Source organism: Homo sapiens, chromosome 12 (assembly GCF_000001405.40).
Source record: "Homo sapiens chromosome 12, GRCh38.p14 Primary Assembly".
NCBI lineage: Eukaryota > Metazoa > Chordata > Mammalia > Primates > Hominidae > Homo > Homo sapiens.
In genome coordinates this window covers 29,508,879-29,523,386 of record NC_000012.12, presented here as the reverse complement: position 1 = coordinate 29,523,386, position 14,508 = coordinate 29,508,879, and the positions used below count along the sequence as shown (strand labels likewise).

Here is a 14,508-nt window from a genome sequence, read left to right as displayed (position 1 = left end):
AGCTGTAACCAATTCAGCCATTTCTGTACCTCACTTCTGTTTTCTGTAAGTCGCTTTCCTTTTTCTGTCTGTAAATCCTCCCTGACCACATGGCAGTGGCAAAGTCTCCTTGAACCTGTTCTGGTTCAGGGGGTTGCCCAATCTGTGAACTCTTTCTTGCTCAAATAAACTTTGTTACATTTAATTTGTCTAAAGTTTTTCTTTTAACAATGGTGTTCGTGAAATATTTGTCAAGGAAAGGGAGGGAGGGACAGGTTGGATGGATGAACAGATGGACAAATACCCAAAAGTGTAACTGTTTATGCCAGTCATGTTTGTTTATTTCCAAAAATACTGCTTTTATTCAGGGCTCCCCAATTCCCCATTGGCCCACTGAAAACCTAGCTTCTATTCTCTGTCCCCATGTAGCTATGAGATTTTGGATAAGTAAGGATAAAGACCAGCATGATAAACCAACGTGCTGACCATGTGCTGAGCATTGTTCTAAGTGTTTCAAATGTTTTAATAGATTTAATCCTCAAAACAACCCTATAAGATAAGTATGATTGTTGTCCCTGATTTACAGTTGGGGCACATGGTGGGTAAGAAAGGTCACACAGACAGTAGATGGTGGGGCTTGGATTTGAATCCACGCAGTCAAATCTTGGGAGCCTCGTTCTTAACCACTATGTCATACTTCTATAGCCATTGCAGTAAATGCATGTGGAATGAATGGATACATGAATATACACCCTATGGTACTCTCTAGATGTTAATTTTCTCAGGTTGTTATATAATTTCTGTTCTGCCTGTCTTCATTACACACACACACACACACACACACACACACACATTGTCAGTCCTTCAATGGACGAGAGCTTCAGAAAGCTTCTCTTCAATAGATTGAAAGGAAATATTTTGAGACTTTAATTCATCTTTAAATTTTTTGAATTTGATAATTTGTTGAGTTTGGCAATTAAAAAACATATATTTAGAGACATGGATCCTTATTTTTGCTGGAGTGTGGATGAAGTTTGACAAACCACACCTTGTTCCCTAATGTTACTTAAATGTAGGAACTCAAATAGATGGCATTGGTCATTCTACAGAGTGTAAAGTATATGTCCCTTTCTGGGTCAAATCAGATTTGGGCTTCTTGGCTTATTGTTCAGCCCTCAATGTAAATATCTAAACACATAATCACAAGCTTAAGGTGCCACGTCTCAGGAAATTGTTGCTCTACATTCCTTTGTCATGTGTCTGGTTGAATGCTTGGTAGGAGTAACTTGAGATAAGGTTTTGGAAAATGTCCATACTCAGGGCATATATGTATTTTTTAAAGCTGGCATGTGCTTTGTGCCAAATCATCTTATTTTACATGACCATCGCAGCTGTACTAGGAAAAGATGACATTTTGTTAACTTGTGGGTAAATAAGTCTTAGTATCTGGGAACCTTTGATTAATTAATTTCACCTTCTGTATAGTAAAAGTAAGTGTGACATAACAGTCTCTAATGGTTGTGAAAAATATGCCTAAAAGGGCCAAGTGCAGTGGTTCATGCCTGTAATCCCAGCACTTTGGTAGGCCAAGACGGGCGGATCACTTGAGGCCAGGAGTTTGAGACCAGCCTGGCCAACATGGGGAAACCCCATCTCTACTAAAAATACAAAAATTAGCTGGGCATGGTGGCACATGCCTGTAATCCCAGCTACTCAGGGAGCTGAGGTGGGAGGATCACTGGAGCCCAGGAGGCAGGAGTTGCAGTGAGCCGAGATCGCCCCATTGCACTCCAGCCAAGGCGACAAAGTGAGACTCTCTGTCTCAAAAAAAAAAAAAAAAAGAAAGAAAGAAAAAGAAAAATGTACCTAAAAAGTAACTCAGAATTACTAAAGTTTGCTAAAGTGAATCTTTAGACAAAGAGAACACAAGGGCAATTAGAATTGGAGCCCTAGAATGAGAGATGTGGTGATCGACCTGAACCTTGCCACACAGGTTGGAGGTACACCCTTGAGGGGACATATAAACCTGTTGGAGGGAGCAGCTCAGAGGTGGAAAGCATGGACTGAGTATGGGAAGTAGCCACCAGTCTGGTGGGCTGTAGACATACTTCAAGTAATGAAAGGATAGGGCAGAGCCCTCCCCAACATCTGCATCTGCCTCCCCTCTCTACTTCCCTCAAAAACTTCCCAAAACAAGCAGTACAGTATATAGATAAAAAGAGAGTCATCTATCCAAATGCAGCTAGAAAACAAATTCCCCAGACTGCCCTGCCTCCCAACCACATTGCCACCTCTGAAAACATTCCACCATTTTTGCATCCCCCGTTTTCGTATGGAGAGTCACCGGGGTGAAGGGCATCCTATTCGAACAACTATTTTCAGTCCTTTTTCCCCGGTAGGCGTGCATGTTGTACAGGTCCATATCCTTCCAAAGGTCCCATTTGAGAAAACATCATCTTTTTCGCCCTAAGGGAACTAAATACAGATATGAATTTTGGGTATTTTGTACACAGTTAATATTGCCTTTAATTCAAACAAAGTTCATAGTGCCTTATCTCAGTAGCCTGTTGTATATTAGGTGCTTAGTAAGATTTATTTTTTTTTTGCTTTTCCTGCTCCTAATATTCAGTTATTGTTGGTTTTAGAAAGCTTTCTCACTTATTTTGTTTGTTTCTTTCTTTTTAAAGGAGCGGTTTAAAGAAGCTGAAGAAATATACCAAACTGGAATAAAGAACTGTCCAGACAGCTCAGATTTACACAACAACTATGGGGTTTTCTTAGTTGATACTGGTAAGTGAAATTAAAGAGAAACTGTACTGCTGAGATTAGCTAATACAATTTATCAAGCAAAATGGAAGGCAAATAATCCTCAGAAGTAAAATTCACTGGGCTTGGCAGGAAGCTCACACTATTGACAGTCATTATACCTCGGGGCTGTCATTTCTCTAGATCTTCAAGCTCGATTCAGTAAAATCTGGCCATTCTCATACTCATTTCTCTATGGAAAACTCCCCAGGGGACAGGAAGTAGCCTTATGATTTAATAAGTCCCAATCTTCTTTGAATATTATTTATATATATTTATAAATCCATGATGATGAAATGTTTCTCTACAATGATGCAAAACCTGCCTCTGAAAGCAGTTACTGGCAGATGGTAAATACTTTTCTATAACATATTTTTTAAAAGCCTCCAGAATTGTTCCATCATTCCTTCCTTGATGTACATTAGAAACTGCATTATTAAAATTGATACAATGCTCTTATATGACAGGTGCTATATAAAATACACTTACTTTATCTTACTTAATGCAAAACATTACTGGGCATGAATTCTCTTTTCTTTATGACTTATGTAGTGCCTCTGTACTGTTGGCATGCAATGTAAGTAATGAAATTATATTTAAATGTAAGGCCAAAGCACCACTTTGTTCTTGTTGATTACTAGACTAGCTGCCCTGCAGCAAAATTTAGTTTAATTAGTTTTTCAATATGAAATGCTTAAAGGGGTTTTATTTTCAAGGATATTTGGAGCTCTCTTGTTTTACAGAATATAAAATTTACATTCTGATACATCTAAGAAACTTACCTTATTTTTGCCTGTGTAAAATTGTTGTGTAGTGCCACCTGCTGGTTCATTGGCCACATAATAATAAACTGTCTTAAAAATATAAAAACTAGAAGAAACCTCTAGTTGGGCAGGTCTAACCCTCCTCCTTTTACTTCAACAACAGTCCCACCCCACCACACCCCTAAAAATGATAACTCTGTGACCACCCTATGACATTGAGCCTCTGCCTCCAGAGACAGAGGCTCCTAGGGACCTCCTAGTCAAACTTGTATTCAAACAGATACGCTTGAAAAGATTTCTGTGTAGATAATAGACATTCCATTCTATTTAGAATTTCACAGTGTTCTAAAGTGTAGTTACTGAATATAGTTTCACCAGGAAGCTACTTTGAAGAAACCTATCAGAGTAGAGGGCCTTCATTCTGCTTCTGGCCTTACTCTCACTTGCCTTGGGATCTTTATCAAGTCTGTTGAATATCTTTGCACTTTAGTGTCTATATCTGTAAAGTGGAAAATTTTTGTGTGTGGTTTTTTAAATATCTCTTAAATCCTGATAAACAGCTAAACAGTATCAAAAGGCAGCTAAATTGTATAAAAAAATACCTGCAAAAACCATACAAATGTAAGTATTTAAAAATATATAATGCATTGGACAAGTGCATGGTGGCATTATTATGTTGTAAGTCTTATTAATTAAGTGCCATTCAAATGAAAGTGCATGATTTTAAAAGAGATTTTCACTATAGAGCTGATATGTGTTATTTAAAGTAATGCTTCAATTGCTATGTTGAAGTATAGTTCATTGAGACAGACCCTTAGAAATTGCTTCTGGACAGTTTTATTTCTACAGTAGCCTGTTCTATTTTTTATATAATGAGAGCCAGTTATATCTTGGATAAATAACAATCACTAATAATCTGAAGGCATCCTATTAGCAAGAGCGATGACCAGAAAAATTTCGACTAAAATAATATATATAATTAAAACAATAGGTTTTAGTTTTTACTGCTTTTTTGTTAATTTTTTTGGAAGTATGAATGAACAGTGAAATTGTTCAAAGTTAGGCAATGGCCAGGATGAGAAGCTGAAATGCAAGCTAATTTGCATATTGAATAATTTTGGTATAACTCTGTAATAATGAGAAAGAATTATAAGTCAGAAGAGAAAGTGAAATGTTCATGTCTTTTATAAAAAGGCATGTTCTGCTCTTACCAACCTGTCACTGGTTACAGGCTTACCAGAAAAGGCAGTGGCCCATTACCAGCAGGCCATCAAACTTAGCCCCAGTCATCACGTGGCCATGGTGAACTTGGGAAGACTCTACAGGTCACTGGGAGAGAACAGCATGGCTGAAGAATGGTACAAGCGGTAAAGTTCCCTTTCTTTTCTTTATAAGTTGCCCAGGAACCTCAGCAATCACTCATCAGCTTCTTAGTTAATCAGAATAGGTGTGCTCTCAGAATACTAGCAAATTTTGCCAATTCAGGTGATACAAATTTTTATCTCCAAAGAAAGCAACCACAATATAAATGGGATCATAATTCATGACTTTGGCTTGCTGGTTAGACTATAGTGCTGAACCAAGGTTGAAATTTAATTCCCACTTTAGTCAGTTTGTTGTTTTCTGAAGCCATGGATTGCAACCCCAATCATAAACAGCAATTTAAAAAATGAGGATACATGAAAAACTATGCACACATGAGAACAAATTCATCATAATTAATGAGAAAGACCCTTGGGGCTCAGTTTCCATATTGATAGGTCAATAAGACATTCTTACGTTCCAACTATGGCATCATGATCATTTTGTAAAAACCTTGTTCTTGGCCAGGTGCGGTGGCTCATGCCTGTAATCCCAGCACTTTGGGAGGCCAAGATGGTCGAATCACCTGAGGTCAGATGTTCAAGACCAACTTGGCCAACATGGTGAAACCTCGTCTCTACTAAAAGTACAAAAATTAGCCGGGCATGATGGCGGGCACCTGTAATCCCTGCTACTCAGGAGGCTGAGGCAGGAGAATCACTTGAACCTGGGAGGTGGAGGTTGCATGAGCCAAGATTGTGCCACTGCACTCCAGCCTGGGTGACAGAGTGAGACTCTGTCTCAAAAAAAAAGAAAAAGCCAAAAACCTTGTTATTGATATAAAAACAAAGACCGTATTGGAGCAGAGGTTCAAACCATGGACCGTCTTCCCTAAATCTAAGCCTAGACATTTGGAAATGTACCTATTAGAAGAGAAATGTCATTTAGATTTTCTCCAAACTCAGCGCCCTGCAGGTGGCACACAAAGCTGAGATATTGTCACCTTTGGGAGCACTGTATTACAACACTGGCCGATACGAAGAGGCTTTGCAGATTTACCAGGAAGCTGCAGCACTTCAGCCTTCTCAGAGGGAGCTCCGCTTGGCACTGGTGAGTAGGATGAAAGAAAATGAAGCTGGCAACCTAAGCACAGGCAGCCATAGAGAGAGCTGTAGTCCTCACGCCTCAAAACTGGAGCTGGAATGCCGTAATATATCCACTGTATGAATATTCATACAGCTAATGTTAGAGCCATTCTCTAAAGACATGGACACCAAAAATACTGCATTTTTGTTTTGAAATAACTTCAAACTTATGAAAGTGTTGCAAGAATAGTAAAAAATTTACATATACCCTTTCATCCAGCTCCAATGATTTGTAACATTTTGATTCATTTATCACTCCATTGTGTATGCATATGTAGATGTATATGTACCTACATGTATATGTGTGCATATTTAGATATGTATGTTTGTATATACCTATTATTAGTGTGTGTTATTTTTTTCCTGAACCATGTGGGAATTAGTTGTATATATCATTCCCCTTTATCTCTAAATACCTTTGCAAATAGTTTCTAAGAAGGACATTCTCTAACATAACCACAGTGTATTTATTAGACTCAGGAAAATTAACATTCATACCAACAAAATTTTTATTTCAGTGTTTGGAACTTCACTCATCCTTTTCCTTAGATGTGCAATAAATCAAATTTGTTATCTTGCTGTAAACACACTGTTCTGATGAAATCAGAGGAAATTCTTTCTCTTCTGACTTATTTGGTCAACCTTTTTTAAAAGCCACAAGCCATTTCACTGGATATATTTAGTGTTTCTGCCACTCACTCACAAATGCATGCACAAAACTAAATAAAGAAACAAACAGCAAAAAGTCAAAACCTGAAAACTGGTGATTCAGCCTTCTCTATGAGTCACTAAATTGATGCTGAGCATGTTTGTCAGGAGTGCGTTCTGAATGCTTCTATTCAGGGATGCTTTATTTGATAAGGTAATGAAGTCTCTGCTAAGCCAAGGTCCATGTGGTTTTGTAGGCTCAGGTTTTGGCCGTGATGGGTCAGACAAAAGAAGCTGAAAAGATGACCAATCACATTGTGTCAGAGGAGACCGGATGCCTTGAATGCTATCGCCTCTTGTCAGCCATCTATAGCAAGCAGGAGAACCACGACAAGGTAAAGAAGGACATTGTTTAGAGTTCTTTGGATTCATAGGTTAAACATGGGGTGCACCTAAGTGATTCTCCAGTTTGCGTGTTTATAAGCCTGGGAAATCTTAAATCTTATCCGTCAGCATATCCTATCTCTTGGAAACTTTTCACAGATATCCCCTTAACACCTAAGATGTCCCCTTGTAATAATATTTTTCTTGGCTTATCTTTGGTGTAAAGCTTTTATGTGGTATTGTCTTAGTTTGTTTTCAGCTAAGTCTATAAAGATCAAGACCAACATTTATATGCTTTATTATTTTGTATTTTCCTTCTTATATATTGTTTTATGTAATCCTCATAACAACCATGCTTTACAGGGTTGTTATGAGGATTACATAAAACAATATAGAAGAGGAATATATAGGAAGATTACATGAAACAATATATAAGAAGGAAACACAGGGTGACCCAATGTCACAACTGTTATTATCTCCATTTTAAAAGTCACATAATCAGTAAATTTATAAACTGACTCAATGAAGTAATTGTTGAAGGCCCACTATGTCCTGGCCACTGTAGTAGGCATCAGAAATAAAGTGGTATGAAAAAAAAAAAAAAAAGTCACTGCCCTTGTCTTCATGGAGCTAACCCATAGAGAAGGAGATTAAACAGGTACTCACAAAACAAATGTAGAGTGATAGCTGTGCCCAGGAATATCATGAAGCGCTACCTCTCCCAAAGAGCATATAATCAGGGGACCCGATGAGTCTGGGAGGCCAGGTCTCCCTGTAAAGTGATGTGGAGGTGAGGGCTGGATGAAGAATAAGAGTTGTTAGGCAGAGGAAGAAGCAAGGAGGATTCTGGGCAGGGAAACGCACATGCAAAGCCCTGTGGCAGCAGTGAGGGGCCTCTCTGAGGAATGGGAGTGAGGGAGCAGGAGCACCGTAGGAACGCAAGCACAGGCTGCTGGGAGGAGACTCCTTGGGGCCAGGCCAAGGGTTTTGTTCCTTACCATGGGAGAAGCTTTGGGTTTTTGTGGAGAGGAGGAACATGATCAGATATTTGCTTTGAAGGGATCTTTGGCTGCAGTGGGGTCAGTGGGTGCTGGGGGCAGAATGGTCACTAGGACCTGAGAGGGGCTGGTGGGGTGGTCCAGATGAACACATGGTCAGGGAAAACGTCTGATGCCAAATCTTGTTTTCTTTCAACTGTATCACACCACCTCCCTGTAAAGTAATCAAGGATATTTTATTGCCACTCATCGATACGTGGGAAAACTGGAGTGTAAGAAAGTTATTTTGTCAGGGCCACTAATTCCCAGTGAGAAAATCAAAGATAATGAAGAATGTATATATATTTGAGACAAGGTCTTCCTCTGTTGCCCAGGCTGGAGTGCAGTGGCATGATCTCACCTCACTACAAGGTCCACCTCCCAGGGCTCAAGAGATCCTCCCATCTCAGCCCCCCCAGTAGCCGGGATTACAGGTGTGCACCACCACACCTGGCTAATTTTTGTATTTTTTTGTAGAGACAGGGTTTCACCATGTTGCCCAGACTGATCTCGAGCTACTGGGCAATCTGCCCACTTCAACCTCCCAAAGTACTAGGATTACAGCCATTAGCCACTACGCCTGACCAAGAATTGTACTTTGATTGTCACATACCATACCTGCTGACACATAGGAACAAAAAGTATAAATTTGATCAGTTAAATAAGTTTTTCTTTACCTAATCTGCATTTATTCTGTCTTAATTTCCAACCTCTGCAGGCACTTGATGCTATAGACAAGGCTCTCCAGCTGAAACCAAAGGACCCAAAAGTCATTTCTGAACTTTTTTTCACAAAAGGAAACCAATTAAGAGAGCAGAACCTTCTCGACAAAGCTTTTGAGGTATAAACTCATCATAAAATTATATCATCAAATTCACAGATTAAAATTAATTGTCTTTTGATCTTTAAGGAAACATGTACAGTAAGATCTAAGATCACTGGCATGTATGTTTATGGAGTGAGTGAGTTTTTTTTAACTAATTGACGAAGTTTTGTTTATTTTTTATCATTGAGCATCTGGCCCTTGACTGAATCAGAGTTGCGCATTTATTTTTCTGAATAATCATGTTTAATTTGATGTTGACAGCATTCCACATTTTGGCCTCAAACTAGCTTCTCTCTGTCTGTGTCTCTGCCTGCAAGACCTTCTATTCCAGCTGGACTAGTACCTGAAAAGCCTTGGACATTCCCACATGTCCTTGAAATGCCCTCTCTTGACTTGGAGGATGAGATTTCCACTCATCCACCAAGATACAGTCTTTGTCCTCCTGCCTTAGGAAGCCCTCCCTAACCGTCCTTATTCCCTGTGACCTTACTTCTTCTGAACTCTTAAAAAGCATGGACTGTCTCATGAAGGTACCAGTCGTTTGAAAGTGTCACATATTACATTGTATTATTAGGTCCGTCCCCTAACCCCCGTATGTGTGTGTGTGTGTCTCTGTGTGTGCAGGCACGCACAAATCCTTGCATAGTTTATCTCCCCAGTTAGATTGGACTTTCCTTGTAGAGAGGGACTGCATCCTTCTCTGTTCTAAAACAATGTTTTGCATCTTACAAGGTGTTCAGTATCTATGGTTTTGGAATAAAACTTATTCACAGGTTGAACTCAAGAAGACATAAGTAGAAATAGAAATGTTACAATGTTACATACTTTCTCCTTATATCTGGTAAAGCCACAAATTATTGAAGTCATAAAATTATACTAAATATATTATAGGAAAAGTAAAATCTCAAATGATACAATTGTGTTGGGAAATAAGTGAGTGGATTTTTAAATATTATTGGAAAACACATGGAAAGATATTTGGGAAAGCTCATTTGAATGTGAATCCTTTAATCAAAAACAGAAATTGTGGCATTTTTCTCAGAATTTGTAGGATTTTCTCTGCCTTTTCAACATTTTCAATATCGTCATTCTTAAGTTATTTATAACGAATGTGAACATTATTAATAACTTAATTGTGAATATGTATGTGTGTGTGTGTATATATATATATATATGGCCATTGATTCATAATAACAGCTGAAATGTATTATCACTCTGTGCATGATTCATATGTATTATGTAACTTAATCTTCACAAGAATCCTATAAGAAAGGCATGGTCATTATCATCATTTTATAGTTTTGTAAACTCAGGCTTAAAGGTCATATCTTGCTCAAAGTCACAGAAGTGGGTAAGAGACGGTGTCAGGGTTTGAATCCAGGTCTCCTACACTACATTCCCATCTTCACTGATATAAATTAATCCAAGAGACACACCCTTTTGGTTTATTTTAGCAGCTTTTTGAAGGTATAGTTTCATAACATTTCTTTCTTTCCCCTAAAACTGAAGTAGAGGAGAATGGACCAGATTTTATTTGATGGACCTGTTTGGTCATATTCTTGCTAATGAAAATAGCAAGGAACATTAAAATATGTGCACAAATACTTAGCTTTGTAATTAAAGGCAATACCCTTAACCTGTGGCTTTATTTCAGGTGACCACTTGAGACTCAGTGGTGAGCACACCTTTGATACAAAACATGCATAATGTTAAAAATATACCACACATCACTGATACTACATTTAATAGGATACATGTTATTCAGACCAAAGAAAGTGCTTGAGGGATAAGTAACTCTCTTTAAACATTTGAAGACTTTTCATGTGGCAGGGGAAAAAAGACTGTCTAATGAATAAAACTATCCCCTAGTAAAGTAGATGTTCTTAAAGAGGCGGTGATCCACTTTAAGAATTTCAGCATAGGCTGAACGACTAGGTCAGTTATATTGTAAAAGGGGATACTGCATTAGGGTTAAACTGTTCAGAAGACTACTCCAAAATTCTGTTATTATAAAAAGAATTTTCTTACCAATTCCATTTGCAGTGAAAAAAGGCCAGAAAGTACAATTTTCTTGCAGGTCAAGGCCAGTTAAAAATGATGTGATATAATAGAAATCACCTGAATTCCCTGCAGGCATCCTCAGTCTCTCTAAGTCCAAAGGTCAGCTCTGCAGGGAAATTATACATTTCAGTTTCCTCCACTTTAGAATCATCAACTTTGAAAAATAATAGAAATAAGCAGGGTCTCCTGTGAACTAGTAGCGGCTGGTTTCATTGTATTACTACTTTAAATTTTCACACGTGAAGAAAGTGGTTTCTGCAATCCTGGAGTTTGGAGGTTTGTTTCCTAACCTGAGGATATTTCTTATTTATTTAGAGCTATAGAGTGGCTGTGCAACTAAACCCAGACCAAGCACAGGCCTGGATGAACATGGGTGGCATCCAACACATCAAGGTAGGAGAATAATTCACTCCCATGTGGACCGGGCTTTCCCCCTGTGTTTTCTCTCTCTGTCTTCTTTCTTAAAGGATTGAGGAACTATTGTTAATTTCCTTTTTGAAATCATTTGAATATCAAAAGTATGGCAGTTTAAAAGTGAAATAGCTCAGTTTATGTTCATTTTGCATTATCTAGATACTGAATATCCTGAAGCTATTTTAAAAATAAATCTGTATAAATTAGATTTTATGATTTTTCTAACCATGAAGAAAATCATATGTACCTAATGGAAGTATCCCACAGCAGGTAAAATCTGTTTATGGGAACTAAATCGTTGTTCAAGCTCAGTAGCTCAGTATAGCTTAATTTCTTCCCAGTTTAACTCACTGTCAAGATTAAAGTGTTACTTAGAATATTACTTCCTATTTCTTATGTCTAATATACCTTTTCTCCCTAATTTTTTACTGGAAAGCAAACTTGTTTGTTTTGCTTTGTTTTGTTTTTCCAAAGGAAAAACACTACCTTTGGGTGAGTCTTCCCAAAGATTGAAAATGACCTTTGGGGGACTATTATCTGTAACTAATGCAATGAACGATTCGCCATCATTCATTTATTCATTCATCCATTCATTTTATAAGCATTTATGGCGAACATCCTATGTGTCATATCCCCTGCTAGGCACTGGGAATACAGTAATGAACCAAGAAGACAAAAATTCCTGTTCTTATGGTGCTAGTAGGAGGAGATATATTAATACAAGGAGGAGGAGGAGGAGATATATTAATACAAGGAGGAGGAGGAGTTGATATATTAATACAAACATACATACATGAATGTTTAATGCATGCATATGTGCATATGTATATGTATAAAATATATTAGCTGGTGATAAGTGCTAAGGAGAAAAAAGAGAAAGAAGATTGGAATGCCAGGCAATAAGGGCTAAAGTTTTAAATTCAGGTGGTTAGGAAAGGCCTCAGTTACAAAGTAGTATTTGAGAAGAGACCTGAAGGAGTGAGCCATGTGGCGAAATAGGGAAAGAGCACAAGCACGTGCAGAGGCCCTAAGGTTTGAGCACGCCTGTTGTTTAAAGTGAGGAGGCAGCGTGGCAAGGAGAGAGCAAAGAAAAGGAAATGGGAGAAGCTAGGGTCAGAGAGGGTGCAGGGTCAGATCATGCAGCCTTCAAGGAGTTTGTAGGGACTTGGGCTTTTATGCCAAATGAGTCAGGGTTTTTGGAGGACTTTGAGCAGAGAAATGCCATGATCCAACATGTTTTTAAAGAACCACCCTTGCTTAGCTAACTGATTTTCAGTCTCTGCACTGATAAAATAGCAGTGTAGTGATTAAAATTTGAACAAAGTCCTAACGGGTTTTACTGTTAAGTGGAAACTGATCACTCTTGGAAACACACACAAAAAAGATGACCTACGATTACACAAATGGGAGGGGTTAATGGGATAATTACCCTGCAGCTGACAGCTTTGATCTGGTAGGTGGTGAATTCAAGCACGATATTTTTCAGAGCCAAATTGCCCAAGCTCTGATCTTAATGATATTCTAGGGTGTCCAGTAGTATCTAGCTGGGAAACATAGAATGAACTTACTTTAAAAGAGTAAAACGATAATTTTAAATATTTTTAATCATATGTTAAATAGTTACATTTTCAAATACAGTCATGTGCCACATGACATCATTTTGGTCCAAGATGGATCATATATATGATGATGTCTCATGGTCTCATAAGATTATAATACCGTGTTTTTACTACATCTTTTTTGTGTTTCAGTATGTCTAGATACACAAATACCACTGCGTTACCATTGCCTACAGTATTCAGTACACTAATATGCTGTACAGGTTTGTGGTCTCGAATCCATAGGCTATATCATATAGTCTAGGTGTGTAGTAGTAAACTATTTCATCTAGGTTTATGTGGCTATATCCTATGATGTTTGCCAAAAGGAAAATCACCTAATGACGCCTTTCTCAGAAGGTATCTTTGTCATTAAGTGACAAACAACTGCAATGTGCTCAATATGTTTTCAGATGGAGTATATCTGCAGCTAAAATAATGGGTATAGTTGTTAATTAGAAAAAGTACAACAAATATACTCAAAAGTGTCCAAGAAGTCTGGAAATAGAGAAAATAGTATGTCTACTGCACTCTTTACCAGGTGAACCCATTGCTTTAAATTAGGAAGTACTTCCCTTGGGAAAGTGTCTAGAGATTAAAGAAGGATCTATTGACTACATTATTTTAAAATATAATTAGTGCTGAGTAAAAATTAGTTTATCCTGTTTTTTGTCTTTGTGGACATCATGTACTAGGCTGACCAATATAAAATTGCCACCTTTGCAGTTTTAAAGTGGTCAAATATCAGTTAATTTATGTGATTCAATCTAATGTAAATATATAAACAGGCACATGGCTCAGATGTGGTCATTTTGATGCCACTATTAGAATGCAGAGTTGTCCTTATGAAGCCTAAAAGATAATTATGAACTTTCTGTGTCTTTTCCATTGCCAGGTCATGTGTGCATCGGGCATTGTTACCCATTCCTAGGCCTCGCTCCTTCCCCAAACCTGGGGGAAGCTTAGGCAGGCCTGAGAGCTCCAGCAAGGTTGAGAGTTAGAATAGTACTTTGCAAGGAGGTTGCAGAAAGAGATGGGGGAGAGAGGAGCAAATGTCATAGTTGTCTCTTGCTCATGACACTTGGTTATAAAAAGTAACGCTTCTTATGAAGTTTTACATATAAGATGAAGTGAGTGGACCAAGAAATTATAATACATTTTTTATCATCAAAGAGTTGCATCAACCAGGCTATAGCACAAAGTCTGATTTTCAGTACTGCCTCATGACAGTAAATATGCATTTTCTAGAATGGTGCTGTCCAGCAGAACTTTTGTGACAATGGAAATATTCAGTAGCTGCCCTGTCCGAGGCAGTAGCCACTAGCTACACATGGCTACTGAGCACTTGAAATATGGCTGGTGCAACTGAGAAACTGAATTTTTAATTAATTGTAACTAATTTAAATTGGAAAAGCCACTTGTGACTAGTGGCCATCAAGTGAACACAGTTCTGGAAACTGGATAATTCAGATTTTTTTACCTAGCATCTAGGGAATTGGAGATACTGACTTAAAGGATATAATTATTTTTTAAAATAGGGCTTCT

General features: G+C 38.1%; 1 protein-coding gene and 1 long non-coding RNA gene across 9 annotated transcripts in view; one reads left to right on the top strand and one right to left on the bottom strand.

Moving 5' to 3' along the window:
• The window catches only part of LOC105369714 (uncharacterized), a 36,940-nt gene extending 33,284 nt beyond the window's left edge, over positions 1–3,656 (bottom strand). Inside the window, exons 1-2 of the long non-coding RNA XR_007063258.1 lie at positions 3,567–3,656; positions 2,324–2,454 (exon numbers count right to left, since the gene is read on the bottom strand). This is a non-coding gene — a long non-coding RNA (uncharacterized LOC105369714). The remainder of the gene's footprint in view (positions 1–2,323; positions 2,455–3,566) is intronic.
• Positions 1–14,508, top strand: part of TMTC1 (transmembrane O-mannosyltransferase targeting cadherins 1) — a 283,947-nt gene that overhangs the window by 261,373 nt on the left and 8,066 nt on the right. For all 8 annotated transcript variants that reach the window (NM_175861.3, XM_047429634.1, XM_017020005.2 and 5 more), the window contains 6 exons: positions 2,667–2,769; positions 4,780–4,915; positions 5,816–5,960; positions 6,901–7,038; positions 8,783–8,905; positions 11,267–11,344. In NM_175861.3, coding sequence (NP_787057.2) covers positions 2,667–2,769; positions 4,780–4,915; positions 5,816–5,960; positions 6,901–7,038; positions 8,783–8,905; positions 11,267–11,344 — 723 coding nt within the window. The remainder of the gene's footprint in view (positions 1–2,666; positions 2,770–4,779; positions 4,916–5,815; positions 5,961–6,900; positions 7,039–8,782; positions 8,906–11,266; positions 11,345–14,508) is intronic.